A 27,283-nucleotide genomic window follows, 5' to 3' on the forward strand; every position below is an offset into this window, starting at 1 on the left:
AAGAGGAGGTAAAAACTTGGTAATTCATCTTGAAAATCTCTCAAGACTATCTAAACTGCATTTTGATGTAGAACTACAGAGTTTTGGTCAAGAGTTTGAGCATCTGAGCAGATCCAAAGTGGTGTCTGGCAATATTTCAGCTTTTTCAGGAGACTCCTACAGCCTCTACCATCTCCAAGTCTACCTCTGTCTGATAGCGAGGTGGCTTACCACCTGGTAAAGAGTACAGGTCAGGCTTTGACCTTGTGTGACAAATGCCCAGCATTCAAAACACACAGTACTCCATCAAAATAATAACACAGTATACATTTGCTTTAGTGGTTTGCAAATAATCTCAATTTTGACTAGTTCTCTAGATTGCCAAAATAGCTGATATTTGAAAGATCCAGCCAAAGGTATACCCTAACATTGATTCCACAGAGTTCTAAAAGTACATTCTGGAACACAGGGCTTTTGGAATGCTCCCCGAAAAAAGGGTTCCAATTTCAATAAGTTTGGAAAAGCTACATACTGCAATTCCCTTTATGGAGATTCATGGTGTACATTAGCACATTAGAAGCTCTGAGAATTTCTTTTTCTTTTTTTTTTTTTTGAGATGGAGTCTCACTCTGTCGCCCAGGCTGGAGTGCAGTGGCGTGATCTCGGCTCACTGCAAGCTCCGCCTCCCAGGTTCATGCCATTCTCTTGCCTCAGCCTCCTGAGTAGCTGGGACTACAGGTGCCCGCCACCACGCCTGGCTAATTTTTTGTATTTTTTAGTAGAGACGCGGTTTTACCATGTTAGCCAGGATGGTCTTGATCTCCTGACCTCATGATCCACCCGCTTTGGCCTCCCAAAGTGCTGGGATTACAGGTGTGAGCCACTGCGCCTGGCCGAAGCTCTGAGAATTTTTATGTAAATCTCCTTTAACAGAATTGAAAAAAACCATAACTGACTACAGATTTCTTTGTACACAGAGTACTAATGTTGAAGGGGATCAGGATATGCCACCCAAAATTATGCCACTTTGGCATAAAGATTATTTTGAGCTAAAGACAACTAAGAAATAGTAGATGTGGGAAAAGCTCTCTGCCCTTCCCCTATCTCCCTGAAAAGGATATATTTCCCATGAGAAAAGTGCCCTCTCCTTGTACTAGGAAGATAAGAACACTCTCACCACCAGAGAGGAAGAGTCCACATCGAGATGAGTCTACATAAATAGGTCTTACTAAAATAGCCTTTATCTTCCATTACTTCCTTTCATGCAGTTCCTAGTCACTTTCTCACAATTTACTGGCCCTAGAATCCCAGATCCCCTATCTCATGTCTAGTCACATTTTATTGCCTTTCTTTAAAATGGTATATAAGACCCTGAGTCTACCACTTCTTTAGGTTTTTCACTTCTTTTCTGTGAAGTTCCTGTGCATATAAAATCCTTACATCAGTAAAAATTGTATGCCTTTTCTCCAGTTAATCTGTCTTTTGTGAGTTAAATTTGCAGGCCCCAGGCACTGAATCTAAGCAGGTAGAGGAAGTGTTTTCCTGCTCTACAATTTCCAAAGAACCAGGTTCTATCCTTTTGGGAAGCAATGAAATCAAACAAAATAAAAGAATTATTCAAATAAGATAAAGAGTAATTATACCAGAAAACCTAGACTATGAAAGCTATTGTGTATAAAGCTTACTTTAATTAAAAGTCAAAGCAGTAACAGAAATGGGGTATTTTATACACATTTTATTTAGCTAATAAGAGGCATACACATTTGTCAGGAAAGACATTTTCTTTTTCTTTTTTCTTTTTTTTCAGGTGGAGTCTCACTCTATCACCCAGGCTGGAGTTGCGGTGGTGTGATCTTGGCTCACTGCAATCTCCATTTCCTGGTTTTAGCGATTCTCTTGTCTCAACCTCCTGAGTAGCCCAGGGTTACAGGTGTGCACCATCATGCCTGGCTAAGTTTTGTCTTTTTTTAGTAGAGACGGGGTTTTGCCATGTAAGCCAGGCTGGTTTCGAATTCCTGACCTCAAGCAATCTGCCCTCATTGGCCTCCCAAAGTGCTGTGATTACAGGTGTGAGCCACTGTGCCTGGCTGAAAGACATTTTCCTAAACCAAGTAAACTCATAGAAAATATCATTGTATCAGTGTGAATTTTCTGATTTTGATAATTATACTATAGTTACAGAAGAGAATGCTCTTGTTTTTAGAAAATATACATGAAATATTTAGGGGTAAAGGGTATTACATGTGCAAATTACTCTCAAATAGTTCCAAAACCAATTGTATATATACACACAAATAGATCTATATACACAGATATACACATATACAGATTGAGAGAGAGAGAGAGAACCAAAGAACAAGCATTGATAGAGGCAGGAGACAGAGAAATCCTAGGCAGACATAGGTGGGTCCCTGGTGCGACCTTACCTTCAAGCCAAAAACAGCTTAAAGCCTGAAGTCCAAGCTACAAGTCAAATCCATGGATGAGACTGAGAACCTGTCTTCCCATTTGGTGTGCTTTCCTTTGATTGATCCCCACCTTTCACCTATTTTACATATACCCTTCCCTGTTTTTACACCATGTCCACTTTCGACTGGTGCCTTTGTTTTAACCATGTTTGCATACTCACAAACCAATTAGCATGCACTCCCTTATCCTGTGCCTATAAAAGCCCCAGACTCAGCCACACTGGAGCGATGATCTGACCCGCCTGTCCCCTCTCTACTGAGAGCTGTTTTGTTGCTCAATAAAATGTTCTGCCTTTACCACCCTTCAATTGTCAGCATGACCTCATTCTTCTTGGATGCAGGACAAGAGCTTAGGACCAGATATTCAGAAAGGCTGTAACACTGACCCTCTGCCTGTGTCAATGGAGAGCAGCCACCCCATAGAAGAGAAGCAGTGGTGGTCCTGAGCTGGCCCAGGGCCATGCCTGTCCCGGAGCTGCAGGCCAGAGTGGGGCAAAAGGCTGATGGAGCTGCTAACACATCCCTGTTTGTTGGGCTGCAGATGGCAGAGCTAAAAGAGCTAATAAGCATATTGTAACACTCCCTTTGGGGCTCTGGAGTCATAGGCACCCCTGCCTGGGCATCACTGCATTCCCCTGGGGGTAATATGCCTGGTTTGGTCATGGACCCTGCATGGAGCTTGCTTCTATGTTGGTGCTTGGAGCGGCCAGCCAGATCCCATACTCGCTCGCCCACGTGCTCCCTCCTGCCAGGGGCTGAGTGCAGTGGGCCAAGTAGACAGGGTGCCCGGGCTGCGAGTCTAGCAAAGGGGCCAAGAAAAATCCTGTGTCAATATGATAAAGCAAATATAGTTAAAATTTTAACATTTGGGCGCTGGGGCGAAAGGCATAAGAATTCTTTATATTATTCTTGCAACTTTTCTGTAAATCTAAAATTATTTCAAAATAAAACAACAGGTATCTTTAAGGGATAGTGGAGAACAACTGCACAATGTATTTTTAACAATTTTACATAAGCAAGAGTGGTCATTATACCTTTTTTAAAAATTTGAATTTTCTTCTAAGGAGTTTGTTGTACTTGTGCTTTCTGAATATTGGTGAGTATATATAAAAATTGAAAATGATGGCAATTTTATGAGTATGTAAATTAGTCTGTGCTAATTTAAAAAACTGGAAACATGTTTAATGGATGCTAAGTTAATTCATATGTTAACCTGCACTGAGTTATATATAAAGGCTGTGCCATGTCGGGCCATATTGGAGCCTGAGGCAAAAGGAAAAAGTTCAATAATATGGATCCCGTCTTTATTTAAAAGTTTGATCTTTTGTTCACCACAGATTTGTTCCATTAATTTCAGATTTTTAAAAATATTGCATGAACATATTATCTATCCTGACCACATTTTTGGTACCGCCTTAAATTTTACATTTGAGTCCTGGCCCTGCATAAGGAAACAAAAATTACAGAACAAACATGATGTGGTATTTGGCAGATTGGAGGAAGGGAAGGGAGTGAGTGCCAGTCATGTGCTGGGCTCTGTGCCAGGGGACACATGCTATCTCATTTTAAGTTTTCCAATAGTCCCAATAGGCAGATGTTTTTAGCATTTTACAAAGGAGGATGTTAAGGTTCAAAGAGAGTGATATACTTTGGATAACACAGTAAATGATAAAACTGTATCTTAGCTCTGTCTGGCTCCAAGAATTGATCATGCCATCTCCTAAATGTATCACACTTAAAGCAGTCTAATGGTATATAAAGCAATAATGCCTATTATTTAATTTTCCCTCTGAGAGACTTGGACTTGCTATAATAATTAACAGGAAGCTTGGTTTCAAACATAATCCAAACTACTACACTACTACATTCTTCATATATACGCAGATAATTCCCAATCATAAAGGTTTTTTTTCGTTTGTTTGTTTTTTTGAGATGGAGTCTTGCTCTGTCACCCAGGCTAGAGTGCAGTGGTGTGATCTCAGCTCACTGCCACCTCCAACTCCTGGGTTCAAGCGATTCTCCTGCCTCAGCCTCTTGAGTAGCTGGGATTATAGGCATGCACCACCACACCCAGCTAATTTTAATATTTTTAGTAGAAATGGGGTTTTGCCACGTTGGCCAGGCAGGTCTCCAACTCCTGACCTCAGGTGATCCACCTGCCTCAGCCTCCCAAAGTGCTTGGATTATAGCCAATCATAAAGTGTTGAATTGAGTGTGATCTCTAATGGCATCAGCACAGTTTTCATTGTGCTGATTGTTAATAGGAGTAGGTTTATAGTATTCCAATAATAATAAAGGGCAGAGATGTGGCCACTGAGAGGAAGTGGGTTTTGTACACTGCAGCTGTTGCACTTAGTAAAAGGCAGAGAGCATGGTTTGTTGCCAAACTATATACATATTGAAAACTTTTGGCTTCGACCATACTTTAAAGAAAAAAAAGTCTCTTTATTGGTTAGTTAAGGCTTTCTTCATTAACTTCTGGTTGACCATTGTAAGGAATTACATAAACATGCTACTTTTTTTTTTTTTTTTTTTTTTTTTTTTTTTTTTTTTGAGACAGAGACTTGCTCTGTTGCCCAGGCTGGAGTGCAGTATCTTGGCTCATTGCAACCTCCACATCCCAGGTTCAAGTGATTCTTGTGCCTCAGCCTCCTGAGTAATTGGGATTACAAGCACGTGCTACCACACCTGGCTAATTTTTTGTATTTTAGTAGAAACGGGGTTTCACCGTGTTGCCCAGGCTGGTCCTGAACTCTTGAGCTCAGGCAATCTGCCTGCCTCGGCCTCCCAAAGTGCTAGGATTACAGGCATGAGCCACTGTGCCCCGCCAACATGCTACATTTTTTAATAAGAGAATGAAATCACAGTTTGGGGAAACAGTTTTGAAGGAAGAAAATATCTGATTTAAAATTTTGGCAATAAAATAAAATAGGAATTGATAGCTGAGCTAAGTCAACTTTGTGCTCATAAACAAAGGATAACTAAAAAGTATTAATGATGAACAAGGCTTCGGAAAAATGTAATACTTAAAATTTGAAGAGCTGGGCATGGAGGCTAATGCCTGTATTCCCAGCTACTTGAGAGGCTGAGGTGGGAAGATTGCTTGAGGCCAAGAGTTACTAGCCTAGGTGATATAGTGATATAGCAAAACTGGATAATTGTTTCCAGTTTCCAGATAATCTTTTGCATATAGGCCCAATGACACATTAGATGCTCATCGATAGTTCTTAATTGTTTTGGGGTAACTGGATTTCCATCCAAGTATCAGTTTTGTGTCAATGTATTAAATTGAAAATATTTTTGTATCTTTACAAAATACTGGTGTTTGGATTATTTTCCCTTCCAGTTTTTCTTGATGTATAATATATTACTGCAATGATTAGAATGGGAAACATCTATGATATTCTAGGAAGAACCAAATATGCCTATGAGATAACTGGGAAACAACTATGACTAATTCCTTAAAAGTAAGATCTGATCAAATGCCACAACAATGTCAACTTCCATGTATGAAGCTTGAATTCCTGAACTCCAAAGTGAGGCTGTTTCAACGTTCTGACGAACAGCTCCTTGACTGGCACTGTGTGGGGGTGGAGTGGAAACGGCCCTACTTTGGAGGAAGAGGCAAGCATTTCCCACCAAGTACTGGGAAATCAGGCAATTCAAACTCTATAGGCTTTGGGTTCTTCACCTGTACACTGAGGATGCAACATTAGATGATTCATAAGAGCATATACCAGCATTCTATCATAACAGCTACTGATAATGAGTAAACATTTTAAAATGTTATTGCAAAGTTTTTTTCTGTTCCAAAGTAGACATGGAACTGATAAACACTATATTTGATTTTCATCTGATGACTGGTATTACCCCAAGAGAAGGGAGAGAACACATCGTTTTACTGGTATGTGCCATGCCTTGTCCTAGACACTTGACATACATTAAGAATAGGTTTTTTTTTTAAAGTACTTATTCTTGACATTTGTTTGTACTGTGCTGCTGTATGTTTCTTACTAATAATTCACCATAAAAAGCAGAAAATATATTTGACACAAGCTTCTTTAAGTCATATATAATATTTTCTTGCTGGCAAATGCTTGGTTTTGGGAAACAGTCATTTTTCAGCCCTATGAAGTCTGCTTCTACAGAGAAACGTAATCCATGTTTCCAGTTTTTGCTAGTAGCCTGGCTCTTGTTGTAGGCATTAACCAGTGCTCTTCAATGCAGCCCTGCATCCCAAAATACATCAGTTTCCAGTGCTCACTATAACAGAGATACTGGGCGAAGATGCTTCCTCAAAGGGGATTTTAGAATGTTGCAGGGAAGGGAATAATCTGGAAAAGGCTCCCATTTACTTAGGGTAAACATCAAACATACTTCTTTTTCATTTTCCTGTCTTAGACTGTAATTGATAGAAGGGGGAATGACAGGATAAGACAATGTATATTTATTAAGGACATACTTTTTCAACAGTACAAGTTTACATAATGCAAGTTGAACATAACACAATTAACTATGAAGACTGTTACTGGTCATAACTCAATTACAAGAAGAAAAAATATATTGCTAAGGGAATACAACTGTGTTATTTGGGTGCATGGTTTATCATAACAGTGGGTATCAGAAATGATCACAGTAATGAGTAGCTCATGTTGGAATAATGTGACACAGAAATAAATGTCACTGTTATAGAGAAAAACCTAGATAAAGTAGAATGCTGGATATACTCCTGTGATGTTGAAGTTTTATATGGTCTTCATAATTAATTAATCATGTTACATTCAACTTGTACATATAACTGTAACTATCTATCACTGATAAAGTATCATACCTACCAGAAACATAATCTTGTGCTTGTATTACCTCATCTATTTCTTCCTAAATGTTTTATAACACAGTATTTGAAAATTGAGGTTTCTTAATTGAGTTATATAATAACAATCAAGTCAGAACACATTTTAAATAAATGTCAACAGGAATATGATTAATTTTTCAATCAACATCTATTACTGTTGAATCTATTATTTTAAAAATAAATTTATATCTTCTTAGTAATTTGTAATTCTTTTGGTGAACTGTGTATTTCTATCTTTTATCCATTTTCTTTGGGTTTCTATTTTATTAATTTGTATGAATTCTTCATAAATTAAGTGAACCATCCTTTTGTCACTGGTGTTTTGTTTTCAGTATGTTGATGATCTCTTGATACTGTTTATGGTATACTGCCATACAGAGGTTGTTTTTAAAAAAGTTTTATGTAGTCAAATGTACTCATTTTTCTTTTATGCCTGTGTACATTTTTATACAAAACTATACAGAATCATACAATGCCTTGCAATGTGTTTTACTTGATATATCAGAAATATTTTCCCATGTGATCAAATATCCTCCTATGATGTGATTCTAAGCATCCTTGCAGTACTCAAATATGAAATTCAGTTAACCAATCCCCTATTGTGAGATATTTCTGATGTTTTCTCTTTTTTTTGGAGTGATATATGCAGTAACATTTTAGTAGTATCCTTGTACATAAATTCAAGCACATGAATGATTCATGGCAAAGTTCTCAAAACAGAATTGCTGTTGTAATCCCTTTGTATTTTCGGCTGCCACACATTAAAGCCCTCATTTCCAAAATCTACCATATAAATAGTTTAAAAGAATTAAATAAATTGATGGGATAATGTAGCTCCGATTAAACTGCTTTAATTAGGGTTATTCAACTTTTAAAAATTCATTAGCTATTTAGATTTTTTCTTTTGTGAATTGTTTCTCTATTTTTTTTTTTTTTTGTCCATAACATGTTCATTACTTTACATAATGATCTGTAAGGGCTTTTTGTATATGAAAATAAACTTTTTATTACATTTACAAAGATTTCTTAGCATTTTGCCTTTTATCATTTCCTGGCCATGGTTACTGGTTCAGGTCAATGAAACAGGAGGAATTTTGCTAGGTGTTTCAGAGAAAAACGTTCTCTCCTGTCTGAGAGAATGTCCAAGGGACTTCTAGAGGCGACTCTCCCTGAACCTAGAACCTGTGGCGGCTGAAATTGTTAGCCGCCACCTCACAACCACAAGGGGGAGCCAGACTTAGAAGGAAGACGACCCAAGAGACGGCTGAATAGAGGTTTCATGTTCTGTGAAATAAATCTGTTACTCTCTATGCCAGTTTGAATTGCATTTTCTGTATTTGCAACTAAACATATTGTGATACAATGATGTTTTATGAAAAATAGAATTTTTTTTTTTTTTGAGACGGAGTCTTGCTCTGTCGCCCAGACTGGAGTGCAGTGGCGCTATCTTGGCTCACTGCAAGCTCCACCTCCCAGGTTCACGCCATTCTCCTGCCTCAGCCTCCTGAGTGGCTGGGACTACAGGCGCCCACCACCATGCCCGGCTAATTTTTTGTATTTTTAGTAGAGATGGGGTTTCACTGTGTTAGCCAGGATGGTCTTGATCTCCTGACTTCGTGATCTGCCCGCTTCGGCCTCCCAAAGTGCTAGGATTACAGGTGTGAGCCACCGTGCCCGGCCAGAAGTTTTAAATTTTTACGCAGGAATATCTAGCAAACTTTGCCTTTGTGAATTCTTTTACTGCTGCTATAGTTAGAAAGGCCTTCCCTACTTTAAAATCAATTACATGCCCATACAATTAATTTATGTTTTTGTTAAAACATTAGGGGAATTGAATCATAATGAGCAGAGAGCCTTTATTTTATAATCACTCCATGAATGGCAGCAGATTCTGCCTATTCCAGTAGATTATCCATAATTAAAAATGTGTGAAATGCCCACTAAAGCTCTGGATTCTTTGAAATACAAACAAGTTTTTGGCTACAGATGATGAAGATGGCAGGAGAAATGTTCCATGTGAGTGGTGTGAATCTAGGTCAGCACCTGGTCAGGCAATAAGAAGGGTTAATATTTGAAATCTTTATATATCTCCTCTGAAACAGAGGTGTAAAAAGTCACTGGGAAGTCATCAGGGGATATATAGATAGATAAATATATATATATATATATATATATATATATATATATATATATGCACACAGACATATAAATACATTACTTGATTGCAAAAGGCATAAAGTATGATGAAAAGGGCATACGGTATAGTTTTTAATATATGTCATAATAAATGAGTGGTTTCATTCGAAGTCAGAAATGCATGTCTTGATTTCAGAAAACAAATCAAGACTGCTTTTCAAACGAACACAAGCATTAGGCTGCCTAAACAGTTATTTCTGTATGTGAACCATGGAAATATTTTAGGATCATCAAAATCTGCCCTTCTTTTTTGTCTTTTTTAATTCATCTCAACTGGCTTATGATCAATATTTCATGGAACTCCTCTATAGCCGCCCTCCAGGTGTCCTTCCAGAAAACCAAAACCTAAACTCCAGCATAGACATAAACCCTGCTGCACTGAACCTTGAAGAAATGGATGTGTAATAGCATCAAAAAGTGACAGAAGATGGACACTATGGTGAAACTGCTTAAAAGGTCTTTCAAATGCTCAAGCTCTTTCTCACAGCCTCCTTATTTATGTATTTCCTGGCTTGAATTCTCCCTCTTTGAACTTTTCCTAGGGTTAAATCCTTCATATCTATAGGTCCCAGCTTAATAGCACCTCCTCAGAGAGGTCTTCCCTGACCATCCTCTCAAAAATATATTTCTTTTTTTTTTTCTTTTATTATACTTTACGTTTTAGGGTACATGTGCACATTGTGCAGGTTAGTTACATATGCATACATGTGCCATGCTGGTGCGCTGCACCCACTAACTCGTCATCTAGCATTAGGTATATCTCCCGATGCTATCCCTCCCCCCTCCCCCCACTCCACCACAGTCCCCAGAGTGTGATATTCCCCTTCCTGTGTCCATGTGATCTCATTGTTCAATTCCCACCTATGAGTGAGAATATGCGGTGTTTGGTTTTTTGTTCTTGCGATAGTTTACTGAGAATGATGATTTCCAATTTCATCCATGTCCCTACAAAGGGCATGAACTCATCATTTTTTATGGCTGCATAGTATTCCATGGTGTATATATGCCACATTTTCTTAATCCAGTCTATCATTGTTGGACATTTGGGTTGGTTCCAAGTCTTTGCTATTGTGAATAATGCCGCAATAAACATACGTGTGCATGTGTCTTTATAGCAGCATGATTTATAGTCATTTGGGTATATACCCAGTAATGGGATGGCTGGGTCAAATGGTATTTCTAGTTCTAGATCCCTGAGGAATTGCCACACTGACTTCCACAATGGTTGAACTACTTTACAGTCCCACCAACAGTGTAAAAGTGTTCCTATTTCTCCACATCCTCTCCAGCACCTGTTGTTTCCTGACTTTTTAATGATTGCCATTCTAACTGGTGTGAGATGGCATCTCATTGTGGTTTTGATTTGCATTTCTCTGATGGCCAGTGATGATGAGCATTTTTTCATGTGTTTTTTGGCTGCATAAATGTCTTCTTTTGAGAAGTGTCTGTTCATGTCCTTCGCCCACTTTTTGATGGGGTTGTTTGTGTTTTTCTTGTAAATTTGTTTGAGTTCAATGTAGATTCTGGATATTAGCCCTTTGTCAGATGAGTAGGTTGCGAAAATTTTCTCCCATTTTGTAGGTTGCCTGTTCACTCTGATGGTAGTTTCTTTTGCTGTGCAGAAGCTCTTTAGTTTAATTAGATCCCATTTGTCAATTTTGTCTTTTGTTGCCATTGCTTTTGGTGTTTTGTACATGAAGTCCTTGCCCACGCCTATGTCCTGAATGGTAATGCCTAGGTTTTCTTCTAGGGTTTTTATGGTTTTAGGTCTAACGTTTAAATCTTTAATCCATCTTGAACTGATTTTTGTATAAGGTGTAAGGAAGGGATCCAGTTTCAGCTTCCTACATATGGCTAGCCAGTTTTCCCAGCACCATTTATTAAATAGGGAATCCTTTCCCCATTGCTTGTTTTTCTCAGGTTTGTCAAAGATCAGATAGTTGTAGGTATGTGGCGTTATTTCTGAGGGCTCTATTCTGTTCCATTGATCTATATCTCTGTTTTGGTACCAGTACCATGCTGTTTTGGTTACTGTAGCCTTGTAGTAGAGTTTGAAGTCAGGTAGTGTGATTCCTCCAGCTTTGTTCTTTTGGCTTAGGATTGACTTGGCAGTGCGGGGTCTTTTTTGGTTCCATATGAACTTTAAAGTAGTTTTTTCCAATTCTGTGAAGAAAGTCGTTGGTAGCTTGATGGGGATGGCATTGAATCTGTAAATGACCTTGGGCAGTATGGCCATTTTCACGATATTGATTCTTCCTACCCATGAACATGGAATGTTCTTCCATTTGTTTGTATCCTCTTTTATTTCCTTGAGCAGTGGTTTGTAGTTCTCCTGGAAGAGGTCCTTCACATCCCTTGTAAGTTGGATTCCTAGGTATTTTATTCTCTTTGAAGCAATTGTGAATGGGAGTTCACTCATGATTTGGCTCTCTGTTTGTCTGTTGTTGGTGTATAAGAATGCTTGTGATTTTTGTACATTGATTTTGTATCCTGAGACTTTGCTGAAGTTGCTTATCAGCTTAAGGAGATTTTGGGCTGAGACGATGGGGTTTTCTAGATAAACAATCATGTCGTCTGCAAACAGGGACAATTTGACTTCCTCTTTTCCTAATTGAATACCCTTTATTTCCTTCTCCTGCCTGATTGCCCTGGCCAGAACTTCCAACACTATGTTGAATAGGAGCGGTGAGAGAGGGCATCCCTGTCTTGTGCCAGTTTTCAAAGGGAATGCTTCCAGTTTTTGCCCATTCAGTATGATATTGGCTGTGGGTTTGTCATAGATAGCTCTTATTATTTTGAAATACGTCCCATCAATACCTAATTTATTGAGAGTTTTTAGCATGAAGGGTTGTTGAATTTTGTCAAAGGCTTTTTCTGCATCTATTGAGATAATCATGTGGTTTTTGTCTTTGGCTCTGTTTATATGCTGGATTACATTTATTGATTTGCGTATATTGAACCAGCCTTGCATCCCAGGGATGAAGCCCACTTGATCATGGTGGATAAACTTTTTGATGTGCTGCTGGATTCGGTTTGCCAGTATTTTATTGAGGATTTTTGCATCAATGTTCATCAAGGATATTGGTCTAAAATTCTCTTTTTTGGTTGTGTCTCTGGTATCAGAATGATACTGGCCTCATAAAATGAGTTAGGGAGGATTCCCTCTTTTTCTATTGATTGGAATCATTTCAGAAGGAATGGTACCAGTTCCTCCTTGTACCTCTGGTAGAATTCGGCTGTGAATCCATCTGGTCCTGGACTCTTTTTGGTTGGTAAACTATTGATTATTGCCACAATTTCAGATCCTGTTACTGGTCTATTCAGAGATTCAACTTCTTCCTGGTTTAGTCTTGGGAGAGTGTATGTGTCGAGGAATTTATCCATTTCTTCTAGATTTTCTAGTTTATTTGTGTAGAGGTGTTTGTAGTATTCTCTGATGGTAGTTTGCATTTCTGTGGGATTGGTGGTGATATCCCCTTTATCATTTTTTATTGTGTCTATTTGATTCTTCTCTCTTTTTTTCTTTATTAGTCTTGCTAGTGGTCTATCAATTTTGTTGCTCTTTTCAAAAAACCAGCTCCTGGATTCATTGATTTTTCGAAGGGTTTTTTATGTCTCTATTTCCTTCAGTTCTGCTCTGATTTTAGTTATTTCTTGCCTTCTGCTAGCTTTTGAATGTGCTTGCTCTTGCTTTTCTAGTTCTTTTAATTGTGATGTTAGGGTGTCAATTTTGGATCTTTCCTGCTTTCTCTTGTGGGCATTTAGTGCTATAAATTTCCCTCTACACACTGCTTTGAATGCATCCCAGAGATTCTGGTATGTTGTGTCTTTGTTCTCGTTGGTTTCAAAGAACATCTTTATTTCTGCCTTCATTTCGTTATGTACCCAGTAGTCATTCAGGAGCAGGTTGTTCAGTTTCCATGTAGTTGAGCGGCTTTGAGTGGGATTCTTAATCCTGAGTTCTAGTTTGATTGCACTGTGGTCTGAGAGAAGTTTGTTATAATTCCTGTTCTTTTACATTTGCTGAGGAGAGCTTTACTTCCAACTATGTGGTCAATTTTGGAATAGGTGTGGTGTGGTGCTGAAAAAAATGTATATTCTGTTGATTTGGGTTGGAGAGTTCTGTAGATGTCTATTAGGTCCGCTTGGTGCAGAGCTGAGTTCAATTCCTGGGTATCCTTGTTGACTTTCTGTCTCGTTGATCTGTCTAATGTTGACAGTGGGGTGTTAAAGTCTCCCATTATTAATGTGTGGGAGTCTAAGTCTCCTTGTAGGTCACTCAGGACTTGCTTTATGAATCTGGGTGCTCCTGTATTGGGTGCATATATATTTAGGATAGTTAGCTCTTCTTGTTGAATTGATCCCTTTACCATTATGTAATGGCCTTCTTTGTCTCTTTTGATCTTTGTTGGTTTAAAGTCTGTTTTATCAGAGACTAGGATTGCAACCCCTGCCTTTTTTTGTTTTCCATTTGCTTGGTAGATCTTCCTCCATCCTTTTATTTTGAGCCTATGTGTGTCTCTGCACGTGAGATGGGTTTCCTGAATACAGCACACTGATGGGTCTTGACTCTTTATCCAATTTGCCAGTCTGTGTCTTTTCATTGGAGCATTTAGTCCATTTACATTTAAAGTTAATATTGTTATGTGTGCATTTGATCCTGTCATTATGATGTTAGCTGATGATTTTGCTCGTTAGTTGATGCAGTTTCTTCCTAGTCTCGATGGTCTTTACATTTTGGCATGATTTTGCAGCGGCTGGTACCGGTTGTTCCTTTCCATGTTTAGTGCTTCCTTCAGGAGCTCTTTTAGGGCAGGCCTGGTGGTGACAAAATCTCTCAGCATTTGCTTGTCTGTAAAGGATTTTATTTCTCCTTCACTTATGAAGCTTAGTTTGGCTGGATATGAAATTGCGGGTTGAAAATTCTTTTTTTTAAGAATGTTGAATATTGGCCCCCACTCTCTTCTGGCTTGTAGGGTTTCTGCCGAGAGATCAGCTGTTAGTCTGATGGGCTTCCCTTTGAGGGTAACCCGACCTTTCTCTCTGGCTGCCCTTAACATTTTTTTCATTTCAACTTTGGTGAATCTGACAATTACGTGTCTTGGAGTTGCTCTTCTCGAGGAGTATCTTTGCGGCGTTCTCTGTATTTCCTGAATCTGAACGTTGGCCTGCCTTGCTAGATTGGGGAAGTTCTCCTGGATAATATCCTGCAGAGTGTTTTCCAACTTGGTTCCATTCTCCCCATCACTTTCAGGTACACCAATCAGACGTAGATTTGGTCTTTTCACATAGTCCCATATTTCTTGGAGGCTTTGCTCATTTCTTTTTATTCTTTTTTCTCTAAACTTCCCTTCTCGCTTCATTTCATTCATTTCATCTTCCATCGCTGATACCCTTTCTTCCAGTTGATCGCATCGGCTCCTGAGGCTTCTGCATTCTTCACGTAGTTCTCGAGCCTTGGTTTTCAGCTCCATCAGCTCCTTTAAGCACTTCTCTGTATTGGTTATTCTAGTTATACATTCTTCTAAATTTTTTTCAAAGTTTTCAACTTCTTTGCCTTTGGTTTGAATGTCCTCCCGTAGCTTAGAGTAATTTGATCGTCTGAAGCCTTCTTCTCTCAGCTCGTCAAAGTCATTCTCCATCCAGCTTTGTTCCGTTGCTGGTGAGGAACTGTGTTCCTTTGGAGGAGGAGAGACGCTCTGTGTTTTAGAGTTTCCAGTTTTTCTGTTCTGTTTTTTCCCCATCTTTGTGGTTTTATCTACTTTTGGTCTCTGATGATGGTGATGTACAGATGGGTTTTCGGTGTGGATGTCCTTTCTGTTTGTTAAGTTTTCCTTCTAACAGACAGGACCCTCAGCTGCAGGTCTGTTGGAATACCCTGCCGTGTGAGGTGTCAGTGTGCCCCTGCTGGGGGGTGCCTCCCAGTTAGGCTGCTCGGGGGTCAGGGGTCAGGGACCCACTTGAGGAGGCAGTCTGCCGGTTCTCAGATCTCCAGCTGCGTGCTGGGAGAACCACTGCTCTCTTCAAAGCTGTCAGACAGGGACATTTAAGTCTGCAGAGGTTACTGCTGTCTTTTTGTTTGTCTGTGCCCTGCCCCCAGAGGTGGAGCCTACAGTGGCAGGCAGGCCTCCTTGAACTGTGGTGGGCTCCACCCAGGAGCTTCCCGGCTGCTTTGTTTACCTAAGCAAGCCTGGGCAATGGCGGGCGCCCCTCCCCCAGCCTCGTTGCCGCCTTGCAGTTTGATCTCAGACTGCTGTGCTAGCAATCAGCGAGACTCCGTGGGCGTAGGACCCTCCGAGCCAGGTGTGGCATATAGTCTCGTGGTGCGCCGTTTTTTAAGCCGGCCTGAAAAGCGCAATATTCGGGTGGGAGTGACCCGATTTCCAGGTGCGTCCGTCACCCCTTTCTTTGACTCGGAAAGGGAACTCCCTGACCCCTTGCGCTTCCCAGGTGAGGCAATGCCTCGCCCTGCTTCGGCTCGCACACGGTGCGCGCACCCACTGGCCTGCGCCCACTGTCTGGCACTCCCTAGTGAGATGAACCCGGTACCTCAGATGGAAATGCAGAAATCACCCGTGTTCTGCGTAGCTCACGCTGGGAGCTGTAGACCGGAGCTGTTCCTATTCGGCCATCTTGGCTCCTCCCCCATCTTTTTAAAAGCCAAAAATGTATTTCCCTTGTCCTCTGAATGCTTGCCTCGCTCAGCATTTTCTTTCCTTCATGACTGTTACACAATTTGTAATTATGTGTTCACTCATGTTTTGTGTGACTAGAATGTGTAATCCATGAGGACAAGGACTATTTTCATTTTATTTATTCCTGTATTTCCAAAGAGTACCTAGCAATAAACACATTTGCTGAAGGAATGATTACTGGCTTGAATAGACTAAATATCTTTATTTGAAGTTTAAAGACTCGCTGATCTGTAAAAAGGCCCTGTGGAAGTGTTACATCCAAGGGCTCAGTAACCTTAGGGTATAAGAGCACTAAAAAGAAACAGCCCATCCTATTACACAACTGTGAGGATGAGCCAAGCAAACTATGAAACATTCAAGGAAGAAAATACATGGCAGCTGTCATGTATTTTCTCAAGTCTGAAGAGAATTTCAAATTCACTGTTGACGGTTGATGGTTCTACAGCAGACTAGCATGAATAAGCATCAACTTGAAAAACTGCTGCCAATTTGCCAATGAACAACTTGATGCATGAAAATGTCTGATTTTCAATGAATTTTCCTTTTACATAAAAATTTCACTGAAAATACAAACTCTTCATCTTAAATCAGCTGGTTCTGTTAGAGTATGAAAATGTGGATGTTCTAAATTAAGTTCCGGCTTCCCTATTCATTCTAGTTACAGGATTTTTTCATGGAAAATTTCTCTTTATCATTTTTTTTTGGAAAAAAAAGTCAATACCTCAATGTCACTGCATTTTATCAAGTGACCAGGGAAAAGGTGCACATCCTTATTCTCTCTCTTAAAGTCAACAAGACCTAGAAAGCAATAAACGCTGTGTGTCATTCATTTTTTCACTGGGCCTGTGAGAATGATATAATTCCTCTATTATTGGAATGAGAGGGAAGAAAAAAAATTAGACTGGGAAATTCTATCAAACTCAAGTATTGTATACTGGTTCTCAAATTAACTCCAAGTAATGCGTAAGGAAACAACTCTTGGTTGGATTATTTAGATGAACTAGATACCCAAGCTCATAGGCCAAAGATGACATGAGAAAATACTGTAATTAATATAGCTTTGGCTTCAAGAAAGCAGCTGGTGAGCAATCTCCAGGTTCACTTCTCATCTTGAGAGGCTATCTAGCAGATATTCTGTTCTTCCAAAGGGGCAGAAAACCCTTGCTTCTTTTTCATAACTCCATGGAATCCACTGTTTAACTATATAATGGCAGGTAGCCTAAAGGAGTCCTGGAGTTTCCATGTCTGTAGAGGTTTTTCCCCTAAATAAAAAATCCTAGAACAGGTTTTCTACGATTATTAGATTCAGGAATATATGTATTTAGCCAGACTAGGCCCACAATAGACAGAGCTCCTTGATTTAACCATCAAATAAGAACTATAGAAAACTGTCCTATTACTAAATAACTTTGCTTTTAATTCTGGATTTTCTTCTTCACCCAAATAAGTACGTTGCTAACTTAGCTTTAAGTTATTGTCATCTACAGAGAACCCCATGCTCGGTTACATTATAGTTGAGCAAATATTCACTTCTGCCTTCTTGACCTCCATGGGTTATCCCATTGATATGACCTGCTTTGGCCAATGCGATATAAATTGGATAAACTGAGCCAAAATTGACCAAACCCTAGATGCATGAGCAACAAATAAATTCTGACTGTTATATCCACCAAGTTTTAGAGTGATGTGGTAGGCTGAACAATGGTCCTTAAAAATTAGCCAAAATAGCCAACTGCAAATCTCTGTGAACGTTACCAGCTTTAAGTTATCATCATCTACAGATCTGTGGAAGGGGGAAAAAAAACACACAAAAAAACAAAAACAAACACACACACACAAAAACTTTGCATATATGATTAAGTTAAGGATTTTGAGATGGGCAGATTATCTGTTTGGACCTTAAATGCAATCATATATATCCTTGTAAAACAGAGGCAGTGGAAAATATGACAACAGAAGAGAAGGCACTGTGACCATGGAGGCAGCCACAAGCCATGGGATGCTGGCAGCTACCAGAAGCTGGGAGAAGCAAGGAATAGATTTTCCCCTGTAACCTTTGGAAGAAATGTGGTCCTGTTGACATTCTGATTTTGGCCCAGTGAAACTGATTTCAAACCTTCCTCCAGAACTGTGAAAGAATAAATTTCTGTGTTTTAAGCTGCCAAGTTTGTGATAATTTTTTTTGCAGCAGCCTTAGGACACTAACGCAGGTGGTCTGTCATGTAACTGTGACAATAGTTAACTATTCCAATGAATGGAAACCCAAACCATTCATTGGCTCATGCCTGTAATCCCAGTACTTTGGGAGGCTGAGACAGGAGGATCATTTGAGTCTAGGAGTTCGAGATCAGCCTGGGCAATAAAGTGAGACCCTGTCTGTACAAAAAATAAAAACAATAGCTGAGGTGGTGGTACACACCTGTAGTCCCAGCTACTTGGGAGGCTGAGGCAGGAGGGATCACCTGAGCCCCAGAGGCTGAGGCTGCAGTGAGCCATAATCACACTACTGCACTTCAGCCTGGGTGATAAGAGTGAGACCCTGTTTCAAAGCGGGAGGGATTGCTTGAGCCCTGGAAGTTGAGGCTGCAGTGCCATAATTGTGCCACTGCACTCCAGGGTGATAAGAGTGAGATCCTGTTTCAAAACACACACACACACACACACACACACACACACACACACACACCAAAAAACAAAGAACAAAAACTAAATACACAGGTACTTACAAAGTGTTCAAATTCTGTCAAATGTATTAACTTATTTAATACAACTATACTATGAGGTGGGTACTATTTTATTTCCCCCTTACCCCCCGCCCGCACCCCAGCCTCCTGAGTAGCTAGTACCACAGGCAAGGGCCAACATGCCTGGCTAATTTTTTTTTTTTTTTTTCTGAGACAGAGTCTCACTCTGTCACCCAGGCTGGAGTGCAGTGGCGCGATCTCAGCTCACTGCAAGCTCCGCCTCCTGGGTTCACGCCATTCTCCTGCCTCAGCCTCCCAAGTAGCTGGGACTCCAGGCACCTGCCACCACGCCCGGCTAATTTTTTGTATTTTTCAGTGGAGACAGGGTTTCACCATGTTAGCCAGGATGGTCTCGATCTCCTGACCTCATGATCCACCCGCCTTGGCCTCCCAAAGTGCTGGGATTACAGGTGTGAGCCACCGTGCCTGGCCTCGCCTGGCTAATTTTTAAAATTTTTTGTAGAGACAGGATCTCACCATGTTGCCCAGGCTGGTCTTGAATTCCTGGGCTCAAGCAATCTTCCTGCTTCAGTCTCCCAAAGTGCTGGGATTACAGGCGTGAGCCACTGTGCCTGGCCCAGTTGGGAATAACTCTAGGGCCTACTGATTACTCCATTTGCTTGGTATTACTAAAGTATCTCATTTAAATGCACATAAATAGCTCTTATATATTCAAAAATATCTTTGCTTTCATACATAACATAGCTAATAAGAAATCTTGTAAATCCAGAAGCAAATTATTACCTAGTATTGAATCATGATAAGTACATTATTGACGAAATGTTACCTAAGACTACTGGGTACAGGGCATGATGCTGGGAGTCCTCTGTGGAACATAATCAAGTACAAGGATTCTGCTGCCCTCCATAATTTATAATCTAGCTGAAGAGATCAGACACATCTGCAAAATTAATAAATGATCTAAGATTTAAACACTGGTTAAAGACTACAAAAAATACAGAATCCACCGGGAATTTCTGAGCTAAAGACTCCTTATAAGTCATCTATTTGAGAGGTTCTCTGCCCCGCCTCTTCCATAGCATAGCTTGGGAGGAACATTCATATGCGCAACACCTTTCTGGGAGCTGTGCAATCCCTGAGATTTGCCTTCCTTGCCCACTCAAGAAAGCACGTATAAATTCCATGGGAATAACCTTGAATCAACTCCTACTTGTAAAATGATTCACAATCTTCAAAACCTTAGTAAAAAATTACCTGCAACACACTTCACACTTGATCATAATAGATATGCCCACACCATCCCTATTGTTTTACAGACAAATGAAGTGAGAATGACCTAAAACCTTACACGAACGTAAATCCTACAATAAAACTAACAGCAGGCACATTGTTCCTGCTTCCCTTTGACTCACTGTCTCATACAGCCACATACAACTGACAAATGGGTTCTGGCAAAGATGTAAAGATGACTTTATTTACAGCGGTCTGGTTGGGAGGACTTTAGTGAGGAGGCAGAATCGAACTTGAAGAACACTGTAAGCAAGGCAAACAGTATGTGTAAAAGTATACATACAGGTGAAAAAGCAGAGATGTTTGAGGGTTCAGTAAAAACAAACAATGTCGTGCTATGGCATCACAGGAGACGTGGTTGGTTGGAGCCAGACTCTGGGAAAGTCTAGTCTTAATTTTGTGGGTGATTGAAGGGTTTTTGAACGGAGACACAACACCATAAAACCTAAGATTGTGATGCTGTGCAGATCCAAGTCAAGGGAGGGAGCCTGGGAGATCACACAGAAGTGGTTTAGGGGCAGAGTACCACAACCATCACCACGGTTCTGCTGATTTTCAAATGGTAATACTCATTTACAGTGCATATGGTCTCTTTGATTTTTGAAGTGTGTGTGTGTGTGTGTGTGTGTGTGTATGTGTGTATGTGTCTGTGTGTGCGTGCATGTAAGAGAGTAGAACAAAGACTGGAATGATATATCCCAAAACGTTAACAGTGATTTTCTTTTGGTGGTGAGATGATGGGTAATATTATTCTCTTCTTTAAATTAAAAATCTTTCACAATGAACATGTATTACCTTATAATAAAAACTGTTACTTAAAATTTTAGGCTGAAATAATGTGATCATAGTTATATGTTGTTTATAATCGATTTAAAGTACAATAAACTCATGAATACAGTACTTTGTTTGTAAACCTGCATTTAAATTATAAATGCTTGATTATATTTTGAGTTCCCCAAGGATACTTGTCACCAACATATTTTCTATGAGTGTTTGGTTTCTTATCCACACAAATACAATACAACCAACTCAGGACAGCTGAGTAGTAAACATCTTATTTTGAAATTGAATTTCTTAAAAATACTGACGCTCATTATAGTACTAAGTTTGAATAGATAGCGATGTTTGACAACATTAAGACTTTAACAAAAACTACTGAATAAAAATAGTCCTAATTTTCCTTAGTTACGAATGATGCCCGCCTAGCCACCAAAAGTATGACTCATCACGTCCTCTTCAGTAAATATAATGGGTGTGTGTGTAGATATTTCCAGAATTAACAATGTGGTTAAAGAGGAATCGCATTGAATATCCTGTTTTGTAACATATATTTTCACTTAACATTTATGAAGAACACTCTTCATTTTGTTAAAATATCGTCATTATTAATGGCTGCATAGTTTTCCTGTCTTTTTTTTTTTGAGATGGAGTCTCGCTCTGTTGCCCAGGCTGGAGTGCAGCAGCACGATCTCAGCTCACTGCAACCTCTGCCTCCTGGGTTCAAGCAATTCTCCTGCCTCAGCCTCCCGAGTAGCTGGGATTACATGTGCCCACCACCACACCCAGCTAATTTTTAATTTTTGTATTTTTAGTAGAGATGGGGTTTCACCACGTTGGTCAGGCTGGCCTTGAACTCCTGACCTCAGGTTATCCACCCGCCACAGTCTCCCAAAGTGTTGGGATTATAGGCATAAGCTACTGCGCCTGGCCCATAGTTTTCTATTGTATAGATACATCATAACTTATATAACTGTTTTCCTGATATATTTTTTACTTATATATAGGTTATGTGTGAGTGTCTGTTACATACATAGAATGTATAAAGATCAAGTTGGGGTATTTGGGGTATCCGTTCCCTTGAGTGTTTATCTTTTTTTTTTTTTTTGAGATGGAGTCTTGCTCTGTCATCCCGGCTGGAGTGCAGTGGCGCGATCTTGGCTCACTGCACCTCCCGGGCTCAAGCAATTCTCCTGCCTCTGCCTCCCAAGTAGCTAGGACTACAGGCACACGCCACCACACCAGCTAATTTTTTGTATTTTAGTAGAGACAGGGTTTCACTGTGTTGCCCAGGCTGGTCGCGAACTCCTGAGCTCAGGCAATCTGCCTGACCCGGCCTCCCAAAGTACTGGGATTACAGGTGTGAGCCACAGCACCTGACCGAGTGTTTATCATTTTTATGTGTCGGCATCTGACATGGTTTGGATGTCTATCCCCTTCGAATCTCCAGTTGAAATTTAATCCCCAGTGTTGGAGGTGGGGCCTGGTAGGAGGGACTGGATCACGGAGCAGATCCCTCATGAATGGCTTAGTGCCATATCCTTTGTGATGAGTGACCTCTTGCTCTGTTAGTTCATGAGATGTCTCCCTCTCTTGCTCCTGCTCTTGCCATGTGATGCCTGCTCCCCCTCTGCCTTCTGCAATGATTGGAAGCTCTTTGAGGGCCTCACCAGGAGCAGATGACCGCACCATGCTTCCTATACAGCCTGCAGAACCATCAGCCAATTAAGCCTCTTTTCCTTATAAATTACCCAGCCACAGGTATTTTTTTAATAGCAACTCAAGAACAGACTAACACCATATCCTTTAAAGTCCTCTTTTCTAGTGACTTTGACTTATACATTATATTGTTGCTAAGTACAGTCGCTCTAGTGGGCTCTCAAACTTTAGTATTTATTTCTCCTCATGCTTGTAACCTCAGCACTTTGGGAGGCTGAGGTAGGAGCATCACTAGAGCCCAGGAGTTCAACACCAGCCCGGGCAAGATAGTCAGAACTCATCTCTTAAAAAAAAATTTAGCCAGATGTTGTGGCACCTGGCTGTAGACCCAGCTACTGGGGAGGCCAACACAGGAGGATTGCTTGAGCCCAGGAGTTCAAGGCTGCAACATATTAGGATCATACCACTGTACTCCAGCCTGGGTGACAGAGCAAGAAGACACTGCCTCAAAAAAAAAAAAAAAAGAACTTATTTCTTCTATCTTACTGTATGTTTGTACTCATAGCCAATCGCTCTTCATCTCCACTAACTTCTTAACATTTAAGAGTCTTCATTATTTCCCACTGTCATGAGAAATGTTGCAAAGAAAATTCTTTTTTTTTTTTTTTTTTTTGAGATGGAGTCTTACTCTGTCGCCCAGGCTGGAGTGCAGTGGTACAATTTCAGCTCACTGCAACCTCTGCCTCCTGGGTTCAAGCGATTCTCCTGCCTCAGCCTCCCGAGTTGCTGGGATTACAGGCGCCTGCCCCTATGCCCGGTTAATTTTTGTATTTTTAGTTGAGACAGGGTTTCACCATGTTGACCAGGCTGGTCTCGAACTCCTGACCTCAGGTGATCCGCCCACCTTGGTCTCCCAAAGTCTGGGATTACAGGTGTGAGCCACCATGCCTGGCCACAAAAAAATTTCTTACAACTAAAGTTTTACATATATTCTTAAGATTTTCCTTAGTATTAATTTCTAGAGGTATAATTGCTGGATTAGAGGCAAATATAATTTTTAGATTTTTTGGAAACACATTGCCAAACTACCCCTCCAGAAAGTTCTCACCAATTTACTCTTATGCCAGTAGTGTACATCCTTAGCAACACTGTGTATGATATTTTGAAAAATCCCGAGTATTTGGTAGGTGAAAATATGGTTGCTGGCCATTTTTCTTCTTCTGTGGTCTGAGTGTCCATATTTTTGTTCAGTTTTCTAGTGAGGTATCTATCTCATTTCTTAGGAGGGACCTTTTGTATATTAAAGGTATTCATAATCTGCAGTTGCTGAAATTTTTAAAAATATAGCTTAAGACTGCTATATAGCTCCTCGTTAATAGAAACTGAATGCTCTAAATATACACATTTCCCAGAACATGTTGAATATTTCATAAACTTTCTGTTTTAGGTTAGCAAAACTTGATAGTCCAAGCAGAATGTGTTTACATGTGCCATGACAAAGAATATGAGCAATTTTTGATACACTTAGATCTCTTGGTAGTAGTTATATACATTTGCTATAGCAAGAAGAGAATAAAATAAACCTCAATACTGTAGGCTTCACACTTAAACCACATGTATGCCATTATGTACCTAACTTGGTAAACAGGATATATTTTGTCACCCATAAAGTTTCTTAGCTCAATGAAATACGTGGCAAAATTACATACTTTAGAAAAGCTGTTTCTTTTCATAAAAGTCTGTTCAAAAAAATCTTTTTTAGGGTGATATTTTACATTAAATGTCAGCATGGTGACTAAGCAGTGAACGGCTATTACAATAAAATATTTTCATCATTGCCTTTAATACTTGTTATCTAATTATTTTTAAAAGGATTAGAGGGAACTTACAAAAAAAGGTATACAGACAACTAAATTACCAAAGTAAGAATAAAAGGACAGCCGGGCAACAGGGGCAGGGTGGTAGGAAGGAAAGGGAGTCAGTTCCACTGAAACTCCCAAACTGAGGATGGTTCCTGGACTTACATATAAATCTGAGCCCTGAGCTTCCTGGCATCTACAGCAAACAGGAAACTTAATGAGTTGCAAGGATTTCATGATTTAATAGGCATTCTTTAATAAGGTTGATAATTAAATACTCCCTCCACCAAAATATGCTCTTTTTATTTTTAAACAAATGTTTTATTGTTGGCAAGGAAGAAAAAAATAATTGCTCAGCAGTAATTCACTGGGATTTTACATGGCTTGGCTGTGCGCATCTTCAGCTACCTCTGTAATACAGTCTTCCTCCAGACAAGCTTTTGATTGTATACATCTTAACTATAAGACCTTTCATTTGAGGTTGGGATAGCAATTCTCATTAAATTGTTCAGAAGTTTTGTAATTTAATTTAAGCATCTATTCACGAAATCACTTCCCCTTCATTAATTAATTCCTTACAAAGAGTCAAATCTCTTGAGCTTGTAGCAATTAAAAAAGAAAAGTGAAATGAATATGTAGCCATTTTTTTTTCCTTCCTTTTTTTCCTATCACCACCTATAGGGGCCAGAAAATGTTGTCATGGAGACAACAGCTGTTGGGTTATGAGTGACAAGTCTCAAGAGAGAAGTGTCTTGGAAAGGGAACACCTCAAGTAAAAAAAAAAAAAAAAGTGGTGAGGGAGAAACCAATGCAAGCTGTTTTACTAAACATAGTGGGGGCTCAATTGAAAGGTGTATTTTAGCTAGCAAAGAATAAAAGTGGTATTTCCCCTCTTTTTTCACCTAACATAGGAAATGTTTTCCTTGCAAAGGCGAACAGATTTCTTTTAAGTAAACCTCAAGCATATGTACATCTCTTGGCATAATTATATTTTAAAATTGAGATTCACACTGATGCGCCAAATTGGTTGCCTTAGTAATGAGATATCACCCAGGCAACGGATTTGCTGCTCTTTCAGGAGAGCAAATCATCTGCTTCCAACTTACAGCAGAGTGGGCTGGGGATGGAGTGGCAATGGTTTCTTATTGGCAGTGTCTGAGAGGAGATAAATAAGAAACAAATTATTTTTGACATGTCACCATTATTTTCCAAATATGCTTTTATCGTTTTATTCACCAAGTAGGTGGGAAGAGAAAAAAGGAGAGTGGGGCCGGGTGTGAGGGAATGTACTGTTGCTTCAATGTTAAGTTGTTGCTGAAGCATTTTTATTGTTCTAAAAGGGCTTTACATTTGCCAATATGTTAAATACTAAATGGACCAGTTATAGGCTTATATTATAAATCGACCAAATTTTTTTCCCCATAGTAAGTTCAGTGACTTGTACATAGTAATGCTATTCTAATAGCGCTGCTTAGTAATATATGTAGGGGTAAGTCTTCAGTGTTTCAACATTTACTAAATGTCTTACGGAAAATTAACGCTTCTTAGTTTCTTCATTACGGACACCTTTTTGCTATACCTATTTTCATTTCCATGATTCACCAACAAATGTTCAAAACACTTTTATTTCCTCGCCGGAGGAGTTTGGCAATTGGTTTTTCTTCTACACTCTGAGCTCATCCTGACCCAACTTTAACATGCCGGTTATTAATAAACCAATGACCTACTAATTGCCAGACTAGGTGGGCACTTTTCAGCCATTATGGTGTTGGACATACCTACTATGTCTGATGCTGTTGACTGTTTCTTCTTATTTAAAATTTGCTCACGCCTGTAATCCCAGCACTTTGGGAGGTCGAGGCGGGTGGATCATGAGGTCAGGAGATCGAGACCATCCTGGCTAACAAGGTGAAACCCTGTCTCTACTAAAAATACAAAAAATTAGCCGGGCGCGGTGGCGGGCGCCTGTAGTCCCAGCTACTCGGGAGGCTGAGGCAGGAGAATGGCGTGAACCCGGGAAGCGGAGCTTGCAGTGAGCCGAGATTGCGCCACTGCAGTCCGCAGTCCGGCCTGGGCGACAGAGCGAGACTCCGTCTCAAAAAAAAAAAAAAAAAAAAAAAAAAATTTGCTACTTCTTTTGTTTCTCTGACTCATATATCCAACTGCTTGCTGGTCATCTCTACTTGAATGCCTCATAGGCACCTCGAACACATCATACCCCACACTACTACCATCTTCCAGATATGCCCCTGCTTCTGTACCTTCTACCTCTATCTCAGTTGTCAGTGATACCAGCTATCCAGGACTCTATGGTGGAAACCTGGGAATCATTGATTCCTGCCTTTCATCAATCTCCTGTCCAATAACTATCATAGTCTGCTAATTATTTCATGGTCTCCTAAATATTTCTCACATTTTTCTGCATCTTAACTACCACTGCTGCAATTTAAGTTCTCATCAGCTTTCCCCTAGATCAGTGGTCTTGAACCTTTTTGACATCAGGGACCAGTTTTGTGGAAGAAAGATTTTCCATGCACCGGCATGGTGGGGGTGGGGGTGGTTTCAGGATGAAACTGTTCTACCTCAGATCATCAGGCATTAGATTCTCATAAAGAGCGCACAGCCTAGATCCCTTGCATGCGCAGTTCACCATAGGCTTCATGCTCCTATGAGAATCCAATGAGCCACTGATCTTACAGGAGGCGGAGCTCAGGTGGTAATGTTTGCTCACTTGCCGCCCACCTGCTGCTGTGCGGCCTGGTTCCTAACAGGCCACAGTCCAGTACCAGTCTGCCACTTG

At 40.0% G+C, this 27,283-nt stretch overlaps 1 protein-coding gene across 5 annotated transcripts in view, besides 1 other annotated feature; it reads right to left on the bottom strand.

Annotated features, from left to right (window-relative positions):
• MYO1D (myosin ID) overlaps nucleotides 1-27,283 on the bottom strand; it is a 384,603-nt gene that overhangs the window by 175,606 nt on the left and 181,714 nt on the right. The window lies entirely within an intron of this gene.
• Nucleotides 15,234-15,855: an enhancer, noted in NCBI's record as "NANOG-H3K27ac-H3K4me1 hESC enhancer chr17:31010379-31011000 (GRCh37/hg19 assembly coordinates)". NCBI's record gives its function as "activates a minimal SCP1, AML or CMV promoter by ChIP-STARR-seq in primed H9 embryonic stem cells {active_cell/tissue: H9 hESC(primed)}" and the evidence as "EXISTENCE:reporter gene assay evidence [ECO:0000049][PMID:30033119]".

The sequence above is a fragment of the Homo sapiens genome, chromosome 17 (assembly GCF_000001405.40).
Source record: "Homo sapiens chromosome 17, GRCh38.p14 Primary Assembly".
Classification (NCBI taxonomy): Eukaryota; Metazoa; Chordata; class Mammalia; order Primates; family Hominidae; genus Homo; species Homo sapiens.